General features: G+C 38.5%; 1 protein-coding gene across 13 annotated transcripts in view; it reads left to right on the top strand.

The window, feature by feature from the left end:
* Positions 1–21,237, top strand: part of ZDHHC20 (zDHHC palmitoyltransferase 20) — an 86,733-nt gene that overhangs the window by 16,308 nt on the left and 49,188 nt on the right. For 12 of the 13 annotated variants that reach the window (NR_104487.2, NR_104486.2, XR_007063672.1 and 9 more), the window contains one exon: positions 17,318–17,344. The exons of the other annotated variant lie outside the window; for it this stretch is intronic. Coding sequence is in view for 6 of the 12 variants with exons in the window: in NM_153251.4 (NP_694983.2) it covers positions 17,318–17,344 (27 nt within the window). In the remaining 6 variants the exon portion in view is untranslated. The remainder of the gene's footprint in view (positions 1–17,317; positions 17,345–21,237) is intronic. 13 annotated transcript variants of the gene reach the window in all.

Here is a 21,237-nt window from a genome sequence, read left to right as displayed (position 1 = left end):
CCCAGAGGGTTTCTTGCTGTGGATGGTCCATGAAAATCAGTGTAACTCAGCATGAACAATAATTAAAACAGCATCCATGTAGATTTCTCTGATTCAAAAATGAGAATCAGTCTTTTCAGTAGATGAAAATACATTAAAAGGCAACAAAGAAGAGAACTAATTCAGTATCCAGACATAAATATAAATAAATATCTGCTGAATAAAAGAAACTGCAAGTCAAAAGTTTTTTGTTTTTTTTTTTGAGATAGAGTCTCGCTCTGTCGTCCAGGCTGGAGTCCAGTGGTGTGATCTCGGCTCACTGTAATCTCTGCTTCCCGGGTTCAAGCAATTCTTGTGCCTCAGCCTCCTGAGTAGCTGGGATTATAAGCGCATGCCACCACACCCAGCTAATTTTTGTATTTTTAGTAGAGACAGGGTTTCACCATGTTGGCCAGGCTGGTCTTGAACTCCTGACCCCAAGTGATCCACCCGCCTTGGCCTCCCAAAGTGCTGGGATTACGGGCATGAGTCACCGTGCCTGGCCACGTCAAAAGTTTTTAAAACTCAATAAAAACAGTCAGCGAGCAGGAAGATCTGAAATAAGAGCTGTTCAAACTCAGGAAAGAAATGGAAAATAAGACAGTATCAGAAACGAAGACTAAACTACAAGATGCCCAAAGGTGAACAGATGTGATTGAAGATACAGTAAAGGCATAGAGGATAGAAATGGAAAAAGCCAAGAACCTGAAATCACGATAAAGGGAAAGGTAAAAGGATTGGAGGAAAAAATGATAGATATACAAGCTAGGCTGAGATTCATTATTATAATTCACCATCTTAATGCATCTAGTAAGAAAAATCATTATTTCCATATATACCAAAAAGGAATTTGAAAAGTCCAACACATCCATTCTTGATAAACAATAAAATAGGGATACATAACGTAAACAACGTAAACAAAATTTATGATACCTAACGTAAACAAAATTTATGTACACACAAAATACTTGATAATATTCCACTATAAAACCAGGAATAATGATACCTACTATGTCTATTACTTGGTAACATTGTATTGACGGAATTAATTACCACATTCATTCAAGAGAAGATAATCAGGAGCATGAGACTTTGGAAGAGGGAAAACTATTTCTGTGTGCAGATTATCTGATAGTGTATGTTGAAAAGCCAAGAGAATAACAACAGAAAACCCAGACAAAAAGAATTGAGTAAAACGGCAGAATAAAAAAATTAGCAACAAAACCCAATACTTTTTATATATACAATAATTTAGTTTGAAAATATAGTGGAAGAGGGCTGGGCGTGGTGGCTCATGCCTGTATCCCAGCACTTTGGGAGGCTGAGGTGGGCGGATCACGAGGTCAGGAGATCAAGACCATCCTGGCTAACACGGTGAAACCCTGTCTCTACTAAAAATACAAAAAAAAAAAAAAAAAAAAAAAAAAAGCCGGGCGTGGTGGCGGGCGCCTGTAGTCCCAGCTACTTGGGAGGCTGAGTCAAGAGAATGGCGTGAACCCAGGAGGCGGAGCTTGCAGTAAGTGGAGATCGCGCCACTGCACTCCAGCCTGGGCGACAGTGCTAGACTCCGTCTCAAAAAAAAAAAAGAGAGAAAAGAAAATAGAGTGGAAGAGAACTATCCATATCTGGTAACATCAAAAAGAGAAAATACCTTAGAAAAAAAAACAAGAAAAATGTCACATTCACAAGAGGAAAACATTCTTAAAAGACCCAAAATGTGACTTGAACAAATGGAAAGACATTTCATACTTTACGTTCATAGACAGAATAATTCAACATTACAAAGATGCCAGTTCTCCCCCAATTAATGTATAAATGAATTCTAATTCCAGTAAACATTTTTTTGTTTCTGGTGCTAGACAAGTGGATACCAGAGGTCTTATGGAAAAATAAGAAAGAATAAGCAATCAGGAAATCTCTGAAAAATTAAGAGCAATAAGTAGGGGAAATCCCCCAGATTTTAAACCAAAAAGCCTTATAATTAAAACTGTGGGGGCAGGAAGTATATGAGGAACTTTCTACTTTCTGCCCAATTTTGCTGTGAACTTAAAACTACTCTAAAAAATAGTCTCTCTCTCTCTTTTTTTTTTAAACTGTGTGGTCTGGTGCATGGACAGATGTATTGACTAATGGAACAGTATATAATGTCCAGAAATAGACTAATTAAAGAAATTTAGAATATTGTAAAAATAGCACATCAAATTACAGAGGAAAAGATGGGACAATTGGATACATATTTTCTAAGAGTAAAATCAGGTCCATACCTCATGCTATGTTTTAGTATAAAGTACAAATGGATAAAATCTTTCTTTTGTCATATATATATATACACACACACACACACACACTTTTTGTTTGTTTGTTTTTGGACAGAGTTTTGCTGTTGTCACCCAGGCTGGAGTGCAATGGCATGATCTCGGCTCACTGCAACCTCAGCCTCCCGGATTGAAGTGATTCTTGTGCCTCAGCCTCCCAAGTAGCTGGAACTACAGGCGTGTGCCACCATACCTGGCTAATTTTTGTATTTTTAGTAGAGACAGGGTTTCACCATGTTGGCCAAGCTGGTCTCAAACTCCTGACCTCAGGTGATCCACCCGCCTCGGCCTCCCAAAGTGCTGGGATTACAGGTGTTGAGCCACTGCACCTGCCGTATCTTAAATTTTTAACTTTTTATTTTAAAATAATTTGACTTTTGAAAAACAGTACAAACAATAGTCATATAACCTTCACCCACATTTTCTAAGTGTTACTATTTGTCATATGTGCTTTGTCATTCATTCATTCACTCATTCTCTCTCTGAAATGTATGAGAGTAAGTTGTAGAGCTAATGCCCCTTTACCTATGTTTACCTTTATTTCCTAAGAACAAGAACATTGTCTTTTTTTTTTTTTTTTTTTTTTTTTTTTTTCTGAGAAACAGTCTTACTCTGTCGCCCAGGCTGGAGTGCCATGGCGCGATCTTGGCTCACTGAAACCTCTGCCTCCTGGGTTTGAGCAATTCTTGTGCCTCGGCCTGTTGAGTAGCTGGGATTACAGGCGCATGCCACCAAACCTGGCTAATTTTTGTATTTTTAGTAGAGATGGGGTTTCACCATGTTGGCCAGGCTGGTCTTGAACTTGTGACCTCAGGTGATCCACCTGCCTCAGCCTCCCATATTGCTGGTATTACAGGCATGAGCCACCGCGCCTGGGAATTAGAATATTATATAACCAGAGTGCAGTTATTAAAATCAATAAATTAGTATTGATTAAATACTACTCTTTAATCTGTAGGCCTATTCAGACTTCATTTGTCCACTCAGTTCCTTGTTCTGCTCCACAGTTCAGTCTAGGATCACACATTGCAGATGTCATGTCTCTTTAGTGTCCTTATATTTGGAAGAGTTCTTCAGTCTTTATTTCATAATCATGATTTTTTAAGAGTACAGGTTTGTTTTACTTTGTTTTGTTTTGTTTTGAGACAGGGTATCACTCTGTCATCACTCTGTTGCAGTGCAGAGTGCAGGCTGGAGTGCAGTGGTGTGTTCGTGGCTCACTGCAGCCTAGACCTCCTGGGCTCAGGCAATCCTCCTGCCTCAGCCTCTTTAGTAGCTGAGACCACAGGCATATGCCACCATGCCTGGCTAATATTTGAAATTTTTGTAGAAACAGGGTCCCACTATGTTGCCCAAACTGGTCTCAAGTTCCTGGGCTCAAGCGATCCTCTTGCCTCAGCCTCCTTACGTGTTGGGATTACAGGCGTGAGCCACTGCACTCGGCCAAGGTTTATTTTGTAAATGTTCCTCAATTTAGGTTTATTTGATCTTTCCTCATGATTAGATTCAGAGAATTGCAGGCATACCTTGGTGGGAAAATTGCAGGTTTGATTTCATACCACCACAATAAAGCAAATATCAAAATAAAGCAAGTCATACAAGTTTTTGGTTTCCTACTGCATATAAAAGTTACGTTCACCCTATACTGTAGTCTGTTAAGTGTGCAATAGCATTGTGTCTTTAAAAAATACTTTTTGCTAAAAAAATGCTAGCAATTAGCAGTCACCTAAGCCTTCAGCAAGTCTTGATCTTTTTGCTGGTGAAAGGTCTTGCCTCGATGATGATGGCTGCTGACTGATCAGGGAGGTTGTTGCTGAAGGCTGGGGTAGCTGTGGCAATTTCTCAAAACGACAAGAACGAAGTTTGCCGCATCTGTTGACTCTTCCTTTCACAATATTTTTCTGTAGCATGTGATGCTGTTTGACAGCATTTTACTCACAGTAGAACTTCTTTCAGAAATTGGTATCAGTCCTCTCAAACCCTGCTGATACTTTATCAACTAAGTTTATGTAATATTCTAAATGGTTTTTGTCATTTCATCAGTGTTCACAGTATCTTCACCAGGTATAGATGCCATGTCAAAAAAACCATTTTCTTTTCTCTTCCATACAAAGCAACTCCTCGTCTGTTCAAGTTTTATCATGAGGTTGCAGCAATTCCATCACATCTTCAGGCTCTGTTTCTTATTCTACTTCTCTTGCTGTTTTCACCACATCTGCAGTCCCTTCCTCCACTGAAGTCTTGAACTGTTTAGTGTCATCCATGATCTTGGACTGGAATCAGCTTCTTCTGTAGTCCTGTTAATGTTGATATTTTGACCTCCTCCCATGAAAAACGAGTGTTCTTAATGGCATCTAGAAATGATGAATCCTTTCCAGAAGGTGATCAATGTAGTTTGCCTAGATCCATCAGAGGAATCACTGTGGCATCGATAGCCTTATGAAATGTATTTCTTAAATAAATAATAAGGCTTGAAAGTTGAAATGACTCCTTGATCCATGGGCTGCAGAATAGATGTGTTAGCAGGCATAAAAACAACATGAATCTCCTTGTACATCTCCATCAGAGTCCTTGGGTTTCAAAGTGCATTTTCAATGAGCAGTAATATTTTGAAAGGAATCTTTTTTCTGAGCAGTAGGTCTCAACAGTGGGCTTAAAATATTCAATAAAGCCGCTGGGTGCGGTGGCTCACGCCTGTAATCCCAGAATTTTGGGAGGCCGAGGCGGGCAGATCACGAGGTCAGGAGATCGAGACCATCCTGGCTAACATGGTGAAACCCCATCTCTACTAAAAATACAAAAAATTAGCCAGGCGTGGTGGCGGGCGCCTGTAGTCCTACCTACTTAGGAGGCTGAGGCAGGAGAATGGCGTGAACCCGGGAGGTGGAGGTGGCAGTGAGCTGAGATTGTGCCACTGCACTCCAGCCTGGGCGACAGTGTGAGACTCCATCTCAAAAAAAAAAAAAATTCAGTAAAGCATACTGTAAACAGATGTGCTGTCACCCAGGTTTTGTTGTTCCATTTCTAGAGCATAGGCAGAGTGGATTTAGCATAATTCTTCAGAGCCCTAGGGTTTTTGGAACGGTAAATGAGCATTGGCTTCAACTTAAAGTCCCCAGCTACATTGGCTCCTGAGAAGAGTCTCCCTATTCTTTGAAGCTGGACATTGACTTCCTCTCTCTGGCTAGGAAAGTTCTAGGTGACCTCTTCTTCCAATAAAAGACTGTTTCATCTGCAGCGAGCATCTGTTATTTAGTGTAGCCACTGATATGGCGTGGCTCTGTGTCCCCACCCAAATTTCACAGTGTGAAAATGGACTAATATAGCTACCTTCATCAATTATCTCAGCTAGATCTTCTGAATAACTTGCTGCAGCTTTTACATAAAAACTTGCTGCTTCGTCCTGTACTTTTGTGTTATGGAGATGGCTTATTTCCTTAAACCTCATAAATCAACTTCTGCTAGCTTAAGACTTTTTTCCTGCAGCTTTCTCATCTCTCTCAGCCTTCACAAAATTAAAGAGAGTTAGGACTTTGCTCTGAGTTAGGCTTTGGCTTAAGGGAATGTTTGTGGCTGGTTTGGCTCTCTGTCTAGAAAACTCAAACTTTTTTTGTATCAGCCTCATTGCACTTTCTTATTCATCTATTCACTGGAGTAGTACTTTTTTTAAAATTAATTTTTTTTATTATACTTTAAGTTCTAGGGTACACGTACACAACGTGGGCCAAAGTTAGTGCCACTCCACTGGAGTAGTACTTTTAATTTTCTTCAAGAACTTTTCCTTGGCATTCACAACTTGGCTAACTTTGGCCCAAGAGGCCTAGCGTTTATCCTGTCTTGGTTTTTAACATGTCTTTCTCACTAAGCTTAGTCATTTCTAGCTGTTGATCTAAAGTGACAGGTGTGTGACTCTTCCTTTCACCTGAACACTTAGAGGCCATTGTAGGATTATTAATTGGCTTGATTGCAGTATTGTTGTGTCTCCGGAAATAGGGAGGCCCAAGGAGACGGAGAGAGATAGAGGAATGTCTGGTCAGTGGAGTGGTAGAAACACCACATTTATTAAGTTTTCCATCGTATATGGATGCAGTTGGTGGTACTCCAAAACAATTACAATAGTAACGTCACAGATCACTGATCACAGAGCACCAGAGCAGATATTATGATAATGAAAAAGGTTGAAATACTGTGAGAATTAACCAAAATGTGACACGGAGACACAAAGTGAGCACAAAGTGTTGGAAAAATAGCACAGATAGACTTGCTTAATGCAGGGTTGCCACAACCTTCGATTTGTAAAAAACATAATGTCTGCAAAGCACAATAAATCAAAGCACCTTATGAGATGTGCCTATATGTATTTTCAGCAAGAATGTCACAGAAGTAATGCTGTGTCATTATAACATTTTGGGGACCATTAATGTTGATCAACACCCAAGGTAGTGTGTGCTATGTTTCTCCATTCTATAAAGGTACAGTTTTTCTTTGTAATTAATATTCTATTAGACCACCACATCACACGGATTCCTTTTTGAGGAAGGACTTGTTGCTCAGTTTTGGTCAGTGCAGTCAGCAGATAGCTTCCAGCACTTTCTGCATGACTCATATCACCCAAGGTCACACCCTTCCTGGTGCAGCTTGCACACAATGCCTGAGTGAGATGGGGTGGAACTGCCCACTTCAGAGCTCCCTGCCGGTTGCTGAAGCCAGGACTATATTGCAGTGAGATTGCTCCCTTAGCCCAATTATACCTCTTCCCCCTTCCTTTCACATATGCTGGTCCCTAGTAAATACATTGCACCCCAAACTCTGTCTTAGCATCTGATTCCAGAGAACCCAACCTGAGTCATTTCTTATTGGGAGACATTTTGAAACCCTGTGAATAATCTGTTTGTTATTACTTTCACTTACTCCTTTTAGCATCTATTGAGAATTCTTGCTTGAAACAGTTATTACTGTCCTGGTTGCCAAATGGTGGTTTTCTAATTCCATGATTTCTTCTACATTTACTAGTTAGAATTCTACTGTATGGAAGAGATTATCCTTCTCCCATTTACTTATTTATTGATTCACTCACATATATCAGCATGCACCGGCAAATTCTATTTTGTGAATTATAATCTAACACGTATTTTATTGTTCAATTTGTCCCAGATTTGGCCAGTAGGAGCCAGTTTCCATCTTGTTTCTGTGTGCTTTGATGTGTCCTTATTGTTTTTTTAGTACTTCCTTTCTTTCTGGCAATATATTTCAGCATTGTTTGATACTTTTCCTGCCCCTGGAATTGGTCATTTCAACAGGGACCAAGAATGAATATAAAAAATGGAAACATTCAAGCATTAGAAGAAAATATGGGTGGATGATCTTAAGGCAATGAGGAAAGCCTCTAACATCTCAGAATCACCAAGCACAATAGAAAAAACAAACAAACAAAAAAGTAAGCAGATGTTTCACAGGAAAAAAAAAATGAAAATGACACATAAGCATAAGAAAAGATACTGACCCTCACTTATAAGATAAATACGAGGTAAAATTATCCTGCCATACCAAAAGATTGAAAACTTCATTGAGTAGACTGCAGAGAAACAGTCAGTTTCATTCATTGCTGGTAGAAGTATAAAATGGTACAACCCGTATAAAAGGGTTTTTGCAAAAAGCTAAAGACATGGTGGACAGATTTACTTTTGGTTCAGTAATCCCACTGTTAGGAATCTACACTGAAGATAAACTTCCACAAATAAACAACACATGCACAAGGTTATTTATTGCAACATTGTAGTGGCAAAGGATTGGCGACAACACAGATGCCCATCAATAGAAGGCTGATTGTATAACTGGAATATCCACACAACGGAATATTGTGCAATGCTTTAAAAAAAAAAAAAGGATGTCTCTGTGTGCTAATGGGTAGCGATTTCTAGAATTTGTAGGACATTTCACAAGACATCTGGCCTGATCTTTTCAAAAAGTCATCATCATATGGATTTAGGGAAGATGGTGGTAATAGTACATTATTTTTGAGTCACTCCAAATCACTGCATAAAAACAGAACATGAACAGTATCTGTAGCAAAACTAGTTTGCTAGAGAATGACAATGAGCTTCAGACAACCAAATTGACTGCAGAGATACAAATTAAACTCTAATATGAACATTAAATATTTATTTTCTTGTGGACCCAAGACTAAGACTAAATGAGGAATAATGTTTGTAATGGATACTATATGCTTTAACAATTTTGATTCAGCACAACTACTAGAGAATGGAGAGAGAATATATGAAAAAATTATTCAAACTTTTAAGTAATCATATTACTGGCAGTGTTATTGTCATTATCTCGAGATTATTGGGTAAGCAATATGGGGTATTCTAATTCTTCATCCCTTGTGTCCTTGAGAACCAGAATTCTCAATGGAAAAAGGAGATACAAATGTGAGATAGAAGATGTTAAGTAAAAACCCTGTAGACTTTAATTTTAATTGGAAATATCGGTATCAACTTATCAGGTATTTAATCTTCCTTTTAAAATGGTGTGCACGCACACACACAGACACACAGACACACACACACACACACGTAGGAAAGGAAAACAAACCCTGTTGATTACCAGACTAGTCATTTATGTAGAAAATCCCAAAGAAACTGCAAACAAGCTACTAGAACCGAAAAGTGAATTGAGCCAGCATACAAGGTCAATAAAAAAACTAAAACATATTTCTAAATACTATTCTATAGCAATGAGTAATTAAAATTGGAATTTTTAGAAATGCTGTTTATAATAGCATCAAAAACATGAAATATTTTAGGGATAAGTCTAATAAAATATGTGCAAGATTCTGTGTGATAGAGAAAATCTAAAATGGAGAGCTACGCCATGGTCATGGGCTGTAAGACAATATTTCAAAGACATTACTTCTCCCCAAGTTGATCTGTAAGTTCAGCCAGTCAAAATCCAGGCATCAGCCAGCACTGGATCTCCCAGAACAAACAAACAAAAAACAAAACCAGGCAGATTTTTGTTTGTGAATTCCCGCCTCCCACCCCCACCAGATGGAGTCTTGCTCTGTCACCCAGGCTGGAGTGCAGTGGAGTGATCTCGGCTCACTGCAAGCTCCGCCTTCTGGGTTCACGCCATTCTCCTACCTCACCCTCCTGAGTAGCTGGGACTACAGGCACCCGCCACCACGCCCGGCTAATTTTTTGTATTTTTAGTAGAGATGGAGTTTTACTGTGTTAGCCAGGATGGTCTCGATCTCCTGACCTCATGATCCGCCCGCCTCAGCCTCCCAAAGTGCTGGGATTACAGGCATGAGCCACCATGCCTGGCCTTGTTTGAGTATTTTTTTAAGGAAATCAATAAGATGAGTTTAAAATTTACATGGGCCAGACACAATGGCATGCAAGCTGTCTAGCTACTCAGGAGGCCTATAGTCCTAGCTACTTGGGAGGCTGAGACAGACAGACTGCTTGAGCCCAGGAGTTTGAGACAAGCCTGGGCAATACAGCAAAATCCTGTCTCTAAAAAAGGTAAAAATAAGTAAGTATTTATATGGAAATGCAAACCTAAAATAGCCAAAATACTTTTGAAAAATAATAAGTTGGAGGACCCATACTATCTGATTTCAAGATTTACTGAAAGCTATATGTAATCAAGACTGTAGTATCTGAGTAAGAATGGACATATAGACCAGTGGAACAAAATAGAGTTCAGAAATAAACCCTTACACGTATAGTCAGTTGATTCCCATAAGAAAATTCCAGGTTAATTTAATGAAGAACAAATAGTTATTTCAACTAACACTGTAAGAACTATTCACCATTCATATGTAAAAAAATTAACCTCAACCTTTACCTGTACCATATACAAAGTATCAACTTTTTAAAATGGATTACATGGGGGGGCATGGTGGGTCACACCTGTAATCCCAGCACTTTGGGAGGCCATGGTAGGCGGATCAGTTGAGGTCAGGAGTTCAAGACAAGCCTGGCCAACATGGTGAAACCCTATCTTTATTAAAAATACAAAAAAGTTGTCCAGGAGAGATGTCTCATGCCTGTAATCCCAGCACTTTGGGAGGCCGAGGCAGGTGGATCACGAGGTCAGGAGATCCAGACCACCTTGGCTAACATGGTGAAACCCCATCTCTACTAAAAAACACAAAAAAAATTAGTCAGGCATGGTGGTGGGCGCCTGCAGTCCCAGCTACTCAGGAGGCTGAGGCAGGAGAATGGTGTGAACCCAGGAGGCAGAGCTTGTAGTGAGCCGAGATCACGCCACTGCACACCAGCCTGGGCTACAGAGCGAGACTCTGTCTCAAAAAAAAAAAAAAAATTAGTGGGACACTGTGGTGCATGCCTTTAGTCCCAGCTACTTGGGAGGCTGAGGCAGGAAAATGGCTTGAACCAGGAAGCGGAGGTTTTAGTGAGCTGAAATCGCACCACTGCACTCCAGCCTGGGCGACAGAGCGAGATTCTGTCTGAAAAATAATAAAATAAAATATGAAATAAAATGAGAGCAAGACTCTGTCTCAAAAATAATAAAAAATATGAAATGATATAAAATGAAAATGAAATATATTACAGACCTAAATATAAAACCTATAAAACTTCCAGAAGAAAACATATGAGAAACTGTGACTTTCATAGGTTGGCAAAGATTTCCCAGGCATGAATGATAAAAGAAAAAAATTGATAAATTAAATTAAGACTTCATCAAAATTAAGAGTTTGTGCTCTTCAAAAGACACTGTTAAAAATATAAAGAGGCAAGTTATGGCCTAGGAGAAAATATTGGCACACACATATCAAGATTTGTATCCAGAATATATGAAGAACTCATGACTCAATAAGCAATACAGTTAAAAGAGGGGCACCATTGAACATATAACTTCACAAATAAGGGATAGTGATTGTTAAACACATGAAAAGATGCTGTAGTTATTAGAAAAACACAAAAGTGAAATGAAGATACCACTGCATATTTTTTAGAACAGCTAAATTTTAAAAACTGTCAATTCTAAGTATTGGTGAGGATGTGGAGCAACTATAACTCTGATCCATTGTAAGTGGAAGTGCCAAACACTTTGTGCCAAATACAGCCACTTTGAAAACAGTTTGGCTGTTACTGGTAAAGTTAAGCACATATTTAACATTAGACCCAGCAATCCCATTTTTAGATATTAAGTAATGAAAATTGATATTGTTTGGCTGTGTCCCCATCCATATCTCATCTTCAGTTGTACTCCTGTAATTTCCCCTGTGTTGTGGGAGGGACCCAGTGGGATATAATTTGAATCATGGGGGTGGTTTCCCCCATACTGTTCTCGTGGTAGTGAATGAGTCTCAAGAGAGATCTGATGGTTTTATCAGGGGTTTCTGCTTTTGCATCCTCATTTTCTCTTGCCTCCACTGTGTAAAAAGTGCCTTTTTGCCTCCAGCCATAATTCTGAGGCCTCCCCAGCCATGTGGAACTGTGAGTCCAATTAAACCTCTTTTTCTTCCTAGTCTTGGGTATGTCTTTATCACCAGCGTGAAAATGGACTAATACAAAAATATTATGTCCACCCAAAGGCTTGGTGAATACACGAGTAATCATAATAGACAAAAAGGTGAAATCACTCAAATGCCTATGAACTGATTAATGGATAAAGTTGTCATACCTCCATATAACAGAATGCTATTCGGCAGTAAAAGGACAAGCAGGGACTTCCAGTTCTGAGACAAGATGAAATAGAGACTTCTTCCTTTTCTTAGTAAGTACAGCTAAAATCCATGGAAAGTGTGCAGAAAACAAACCTGAGGAGACTCTGAAAGGTATCAAGAAGAAGCCAGATCAGCTAGGGACCTTGCGACCTGAGGAATAACATGGTGGTGTGTTCCCTAGATTTTTTTTTTCTTCATATATGTGCTAGAGAAGCTGTCAACCTGGAAACACCAATGAATACAGACCAAAACAAACCCTAGAAAAGACCAGTTTTATTAGTCAAGCCAGGAAAGGGACAACCTAGTAAGACAGAAAACTTGTAGACAATAACTGCCCTACTCTAGCCAAAAACAATAGACAAACTGTGCTCCATCCCCCACTCTCACCAGCAAAGACTGAGTATTGAGCTTAAGACCTCTCCTGCTTGCCCAGCTGTAACAAGACCCCCCTCCTGTGTCTCTTCCCCAGTATTCCTGCTGGGATAGTATCAGAAAAGGTGAAGCCCTAGTCAGGAGCCTAGATTTTCATTCCCACTGGGCAGTAATGATGTGTCCCTTCCATCCCCCCACCCCAAACAGTAACAAGTTCCCTCTCATGGTGTCAATGGAGGCTATCTGGGAAGCACTAAGGAGGCACCTCTACCCTTCCCAGCCAAGATATGTGTGCAGAAGCCTAGCAGGGAGCTGGGACTTGGACTCCCACCTGATGGCAACAAGGTGGTGCTCCCACATCTCTCACTGCACGGAGTCAGACGAGGCCTGCAAAAACAAATTTAAATAAGATCTAGAGTCTCAGCATAATACTAAAACATTTCAGGATACAATTGAAAACCATCCATCCTACCAAGAACCAGGAAAACTAAATGAGAAAAGAGAATAGATACTAAAACCAAAAAGACACAGATGTTGGAATTACTTGACAAGGACTTTAATGCAGCTATCTTTAAAGTGATTCAATTTGCTATTGAATTATGAAAAAATAGAATTCTCAACAAAGAAATAGAAGATGTAAAGAACCAGATGGAGATTTTTAAACTGAAAATACAATAGCCAAAATTTTAAAAAGTCAACTGAACAGCAGAATGGAGAGGGCAGAGAAAAAAAGTGAAGTGAATGAACTTGAAGATAAAACATTAGAAATTACCCAATCTGAACAAAAGAGAGAAAATATACTGAAAAATAAAAATGAACAAATCATCAGGGACTTGTGGGACTATTTTTAAAAGTTCTAATATTTGTACCATCAGAGTCCCAGGGGAGAAGAAAGACGATATGGTTGAAAAGGTATTCAAAGAAATGATAGCTTAAAATTTTCAAACTTGGCGAAGGACATATTCAAGAAGAACTTAAGAAGTTCAGCAAACTCTGAACAGGAAAATCCCAAAGAAATCCACTCCAACATACATTATAACCAAATTTCTGACCACTAAATATAAAATCTTGAAAACAGTGAGGACACTTTACCTATAGGGGAAAAACAGAATAACAGCAGATTTGTCATCAGAAACCGTGGAATTTAGAAGGAAGTAGTACATATTTAAAGTACTGAATGAAAAGAACTGTCAACCCAGAATTCTATATCCAGCATATAACTGGCCCATCAAGGTTGAAAGTTGACAGTTGTACATTCAGATAGCACATCCTCACATTATAAGAATTCAAAGCAAAAACAGGATAAAGGAAATAATAGAGCTTCTTTCTCACGTGCTTCTCACTTGTTAAGGAGGGCAAAAAAATTTTTTCCCAGTGACAGTTTTTCCCTCCCTCAAGATGTATCCATTTGCAAGAACTGGATCCCATAGCCATAGTAGATACAAGTATACTGATAAAGTGAGTATCTGATATTTTCAGGCTCAATAAGTGGGAGACAGGCAAGAAAAGGGGGCAATGAAGTGAAGAATAGGACATAGCCAGCCCTCATGTTCACAAAGAACCATAAATTAATGTTGTCTCTAAATGAGGTTAGTGTCATTGACAAGATTGAAAAATGACATTTCTTACATAAAAAAATGTATAAACATTTAGTGTGCCTAATAATTTTTGTTGTTGTTGGGTTTTTTTGTTGTTGTTTTGTTCTTTTGTTTTGTTTTATTTTGTTTTGTTTTTGAGGCAGAGTGTCACTCTTTCACCCAGGCTGGAGTGCAGTGGTGTGATCTTGCCTCACTGCAACCGCCTCCCAGGTTCAGGCGATTCTCCTGCCTCATCCTCCTGAGTAGCTGGGACTACAGGCGCACGCCACCATGCCCAGCTAATTTTTTGTATTTTTAGTAGAGATGGGGTTTCACCATCTTGGCCAGGCTGGTCTTGAACTCCTGACCTCGTGATCCACCTGCCTCAGCCTCCCAAAGTGCTGAGATTACGGGCATGAGCCACCACGCCCAGTCCTAATAGTTTTTATAAGCTTGGTTTTGTCATCAAAAGAATTTTTAAAAAACATAGTTTGGGCCTGGGTGCGGTGGCTCACGCCTGTAATCCCAGCACTTCAGGAGTCCAAGGCAGGTGGATCACGAGGTCAGGAGATCAAGACCATTCTGGCCAACATGGTGAAACCCCGTCTCTACTAAAAATACAAAAATTAGCCAGGCATGGTGGCGTGCACCTGTAATCCCAGCTACTCGGGAGGTTGAGGCAGGAGAATTGCTTGAACCTGGAGGGTGGAGGTTGCAGTGAGCCAAGATCACGCCACTTTACTCCAGCCTGGGTGACAGAACAAAACTCTGTCTCAAAAACAAAACAAAACAAAAAAGAAAAATATATTTTGGGATCCCCATAAAAAGGAATAGCCTCGTCTCACTGAGAGAGGTTCTGCAGATTGCTGTTCCCAGCCATGTCTTTGTCTCTGTAGTTAGAGGTGCCATTAGCAAATATTAAGAGTGTGTTCCATGCCGTACACTGTTTCAGATGCTGGTGAAAAAGTCATGTCCTCTACCTCCAGGAAAAAAACCTAGGAGGAACTATGAACTGTAAACCAGTAATTACAAGTGTCAGGGGTGTTATGAAAGGGAAAGTATAAAGTGTTGTAGGAATATATACCGAGATTTATTTAACCCATTCTGTGGTCAGGAAAGTCCTCTGTGAAGAAGTGATTCTAGCCATTGTTGGTTTGGTTTTTTTTTTTTTTTTTTTTTGAAACAGAGTCTAGTTCTGTTGTCCAGGCTGGAGTGCAGTGGTGCAGTCTTGGCTCACTGCAACCTCTGCCCCCTGGGTTCAAGTGATTCTCCTGCCTCAGCCTCCCGAGTATGTGGGACTATAGGTGCATGCCACCATGCCTGGCTAATTTTTGCATTTTTTAGTGCAGACGGGGTTTCACCATGTTGGTCAGGCTGGTCTCGAATTCCTGACCTCAAGTGATCCACCCATCTCAGCCTCCCAAAGTGCTGAGATTACAGGCGTGAGCCACCGTGCCCGGCCTAGCTTTGTTTTTATATGAAGCAGTTTTATTGTTCCCTGAATATCTTGGTGAGAAGCTGAAAGAGACAACCGCTGGAAACTATTAGCTAGATGTTATTTTAAATTCAGATTTTCTACTTGGAGGAGGGTGATAACACAGTATATTATCAAGTTTTCATCCTTACCAGTAGTCTGAACAGACTTTTAGTTCAAATCCCATCTATACTACATATACTAGCTCTGTGACCTTAGGAAGGTCATTTAATTATTTTGAGCCTTAGTTTACTTATCTGTAAAATGGAGCTAATGATAACTTGCAGGGTTGTTACTATTCTAAGACATGATTCCACACTTCAAGGAGCATTTATTCCAGTAAGGTGAGACAGACATATTGACAAGTAATTGAAAAAATAAAAAGAAAAAAAGAAAAATGAGATGGTGTGGTAAAGATGGAAGAGTGATCAGTGGTGATATAAAGGAGTGATCTACTCTGGCTAAAGAGGGACTCAGGAAGACTTTACAGAGGAGTATTCAAAACGGGCCTTGAAGGGTGAATAGACAAGGTACATGGCACATATGAAACAGCTTGATGCATTTGGGAAACCACAATTTGTTTAGAATAATTACACCAGAAATATGGGCAAATGACAGAAGAAACTAGAGAGGGCCTGGCGCGGTGGCTCATGCCTGTAATTCCAACACTTTGGGAGGCTGAGGTGGGCGGATTCACTTGAAGTCAGGAGTTCGAGACCAGCCTGGCCAACATGGTGAAAACCCATCTCTACTAAAAATAACAAAAATTAGCCAGGCGTGGTGGCACTCACCTGTAATCCCAGCTACTCGGGAAGCTGAGGCAGGAGAATCACTTGAACCTGGGAGGTGGAGGTTGCAGTGAGCCAAGATTGTGCCACTGCACTCCAGGCTGGGCAACAGAGCTAGACCCTGTCTCAAAAAAAAAAAAAAAAGAAAAGGAGAAAAAAAGGAAGAAACCAGAGAGGTAGACAGATTGTAGATTACAGAGGGCTTGTAGTGTTTGCTACCCTGAAGATTTTGGACTTCATTCTGAAAGTGACTCACAGGTATTGAAGAGTATTCATCAGATTTGCTAGTGGTGGTGGTGTGTTACACTGACTGCAGGAAGATGCCTTAAGCTGTTGCATTTGAGGAAGACAGTGGGGAGGGACTGAAGAATAGGTGACATATTATAAAGAGACTTAGATAGTAGAACCAACAGGACTCGAGGCCATTGAATTATCCAGGAAGAAAGAGTAAATAGCAGTTCACAGGGTTTCAGGCTTGGTAGACTGAAGTGGTTGTTGGCTTTATTCATCACAATAGTAATACAAGGTGGAAGAAAACATAAGAGAGGTAGACACTGAATTACCTTTTCTGTGCGTAGTCTGACTTCTTCAGTATTTGATTATTCAGAGGAAAAAAACACTAAAAATTAGCAGGGTAAGTTCCTCTACTTTTTTCTTTAGAAAAATACATTTGTCTTGAGTATAGATTCACAAAGAGGTTGATAAGAGTACATCACAGACTAACAAATAAGTTATGGGGGTCATAGAGGACAGTTCTGTTCATTCTGCAGATATCATTAAGGAAAGAGCTAAAGAAAACATTGCAGCTATAAACATGTTGATACACTTAAAATTAATAAAGTTCTGAAAACATTTAGTGTGACTGTAGCGTTAATGATAAAGAATTTGGATTTTAGTATTTTAATGGTTTTGGAGTTTTTTAAGTGCAATTTTGACTTTGCATTAGTGTCTACAATTTATAACTAAAGTTTATTTTTTTGAAAATGATATTAAGATGAATATTCAACCTGAAATAAAACTTACATACAAAATGTTTAAAGTATATTTATTCACTATTTTTTCTTCTATTCTAGTTACTATTTTTGGAAATGAAGAAAATGGTAAGGCACTTTTAGTTTCAATTTAAGTTAAATGCTTAATGATATTTTAATTGGAACATACTTTTTATTTAGTGATGAATGCATGTGTTTTTGTTTTTTAGAAATAAAATCCCTATCTTTACATTTTAAGTAATTAAAAGGAGATCTAGTAATGGGGTTATTTCCAGACCAAGACATTTCATGTATTCTCATTTTGTGTTATTTATGTAAATTAAAGTAGACATTATTTTGTACAACACCTAGTACTCAAACTTCTTTGTGTATTTATATAAATATTTGTCTCATATGTTCTTCAAAACTTTTTATTTAGATTTTTTTAATATGAGTTCTAGCTAGGTTGAGGAGACAATTCTGCTTTCATGATGTCTAAATTTTATTGATGGTTCTCGTTTAGGCATTTGTTAAAATCGCAATTTACAATGCACAGATATTTAAGAAAATAACCAGACTGTAAATTTGTAAATTGCATTACCAGTTTAAGGAAGCTAAAGTTTTTATAACAACTAAGTAAAAAAGATAGTGCCCAGAGGGAAAAATCATCTCTCAAAATTTCACTGGGATAAAAGCAAATTTCATAAGTCTGTTGAGATTAAATTTAAACAAAATTTAATTGGGCATACAAAACTCCAGAGGATTTCTAAAATACTTGAACAGTTAGAAATTATTAATAAATAGTAATTCCTCTTACTGGAGACAATTAGGCATTAAGTATGTAAATATTAAATTACCTTTAAATTTAATTTGTCAGTAACAGAATAAACGCAGACTCAATCTTGGTTGGCTTATTTTCTTTCTTTAAATCAAAAATGTTTCCTGTATGTTGGAAGCACAGATACAGAAAGCAAAGAATTTCAGAAGTTCTTATAAAAGAACTTTTAACTTAAATCATTATCTCTTGGGGCTATTTTTACCGTGTCTCTCAGAGTCTTTTTTTTTTTTTTGAGACAGAGTCTCGCTCTGTTGCCCAGGCTGGAGTGCAGTGGCGCAATCTAGGCTCACTGCAAGCTCCGCCTCCCAGGTTCACGCCATTCTCCTGCCTCAGCCTCCTGAGTAGCTGGGACTACAGGCACCTGCCACCACGCCTGGCTAATTTTTTGTATTTTTTTAGTAGAGACGGGGTTTTACTGTGTTAGTCAGGATGGTCTCGATCTCCTGACCTCGTGATTCGCCTGCCTCTGCCTTCCAAGGTGCTGGGATTATAGGCGTGAGCCACGTTGCCTGGCCAAAGAGTCTTTCAATACAGTCTTTTGTTGTTGTTAGCTTGTTTGTTTTTAAATTCAGTTACGGGTGATTTTTGAACTTCTGAACACAGAGTTTGGTATATAGGTTTCAGGTTTTTCTTTCAACTTTGATTTAATTTTCTCAGTTAACTATGATTTTACTTCCTATATTACTTGTAACCAATGGTTTAATAGCATGTATATGTAACCAGAAGTTTGCCTATTGATAATCACATTAATTTGAATTTAGTGAAAAGCATTGTTTTCTGTTACTCTTTACTCATTATAAGTTAATGATAACATCTTTTAAGTACTTACCATATTCTAGGTCTCGTGTTAAGAGCTTTATTTTATCTATTTTTTAACAGAATATATTTTTAAGCAAAACCATTTTCTTTTGTTTTCATGAAGAAAGGAAATATTCTAAAATTATATTAAATGTTTTTAAAACTATGAAGAGTATATTGTTTTTACATTTAAAGTATCTCAAAGTTACCATCTATCTCAAAGTTATATGATAGTGTATAGATGAGGAACAACAAGCCTGATTTAATATGGGGTCTAGGCAAAACTATTTATGAAGGAAGTAAGCAAAGTGAAGATAACATTGCATAGTTGTTAAATGGTCTCAGTGTTATCATAGCAGTAGGAAACTAAGTTCTTGCACACTTTTCCAAAGGAAAAACAAATGAAGCAATTATATGTAATATATAAAATATACATATAATATATATATTTTTTCTTTTTCTTTTTTTTTTGAGATGGAGTCTCGCTCTGTCGCTCAGGCTAGAGTGCAGTGGCACGATCTCGGCTCACTGCAACATTTGCCTCCCAGGTTTAGGCGATCCTCCCACCTCAGCCTACCAAGTAGCTGAGATTACAAGTGTGCACCACTACGCCCAGCTAATTTTTTGTATTGGTAGAGATGGAGTTCTACCATGTTGGCCAGGCTGGTCTTGAACTCCTGACCTCAAGTGATCCGCCCGCCCCAGCCTCCCAAAGTGCTGGGAATACAGGCACGAGCCACTGCACCTGGCCAAAGCAATGATACTGAGTCCATTGGGTACACCATGGGGTTCAACCTGAAGGGAACTGACAGGATAGAGAGAGCAGATTTTGAGAAACCAGTTTTTAATGTGTATGACAATCAATGTTAGTGGAAACAAGAAGAGCACATTTGAAAATAGAAGGAAGTTAGGGTTACGATTTTATCTTGGCATCAGATATTGGCTTAGAAGTGGAATATGACCATTAAGATGATGGTTTAAAACGTGGAGGAAACTATAATTTTAGCTAGGACATAGTGAAAAGAACCTTGGATTTTTGTCAAACAGATATGAGTTTGAATTCTGGCTTCATCATTTAATAACTAAGTGACGTTGGGCAAAGTATTAAATTCTCTGAGCCTCACTGTTTACATCTGTAAACTGGAATGATACCTTAGAAGACTTACTGTGAGGGTTAGAAATAAGGCATAGATTATATGCCTTCTAGTTGGCTTTCAGTACATAGGAATGGTGATTTGAGTACCTATAGTCAAATATGGTGACTGAGTAGTCCCAGGGTTTTACTAGGATGTGCTGGTCATGAGGTTGGAATTATTTCTTAGGAATTCCACAGCCAAGAGGGAAAAGAAACTATGAGCAACATATTTTACATCAACCACTGAGATGGATTGGAAGCAAGGAGACCAATTGGCTTTTGCAGCAATCCAAAGAACGTAGGCAACAATTTATGAAGTATGCACTGGCAGTGAAAATAATGATAATTATTGAAATTATTGAAAAATAACGAAAATAATAATAATGAGTTCACTTGGTGAGAAATTTTAGGAGCTAGAATTAGTAGTATTTGTACTGATAAGCTGTGAGATACAAGGAGTCATTTCAGGCCTGGATTTCTGCATTGGTCAACTGCGTGACTGGAGTTTCTGTTCTCTGAGATCTGGCATGAACCCAATACAATTTCAGAAGAAAAGGTTGGGTTGCAACAGGGTTGTCAATTATTATTATTATTTTATTTGAAAAGTACAAGCAATTTTTAAACCAAAAACATAAAGGAAAATAAACCTCAGTCCAAAGGAAGGACAGTACTTCAAACTGAATACATGTTAGCTTTTACAAAAGCTTCCTTACATTGTTCTTGGTCTTTCTTTTCTTTTTTTTTTTTCAGCGCAGACCAGTGAACACTTTATCACTTCTTAAAATTGAGAAACACTGATAAAGGGAATGCACAAAAAGGACCAAATTTTGGAGAAAATCATTAAAATACCTGGATAAGACTAATAGTAATAATATTAATAATCAGTATTTATTGAGGATTTATTGTGTGCCAGGCATCCTTCTAAGTGTTTTGCATGTATTACCTCATCAGTATTAAGCAGCTAACTTTACTGAAATAAGTACTTTAATTGAAATCTAAGCAAATTATTTGGAGAGTGCAATATGAAGAAGTAATGAATTCTGAAAGTAACAGAAAAGACCTTTGTGGAAGGAGTAGCATTTTATCTAAACTTTAAAAATGAGTAGAATTTCAGACTTGTCTGAATTTATTATCTTCAGTGGGTTTATGGTGCTGCATTACAAACTGAAAAAGAGTTTAAGCATCTGATAGATAGTTCTTGCTTCTTAAAGAAATCAGTACTGCTTCTTTCAAATATATAGAATACAACAA

Source organism: Homo sapiens, chromosome 13, assembly GCF_000001405.40.
Source record: "Homo sapiens chromosome 13, GRCh38.p14 Primary Assembly".
Lineage (NCBI taxonomy): Eukaryota > Metazoa > Chordata > Mammalia > Primates > Hominidae > Homo > Homo sapiens.
This window is presented reverse-complemented; position numbering and strand designations above follow the sequence as displayed.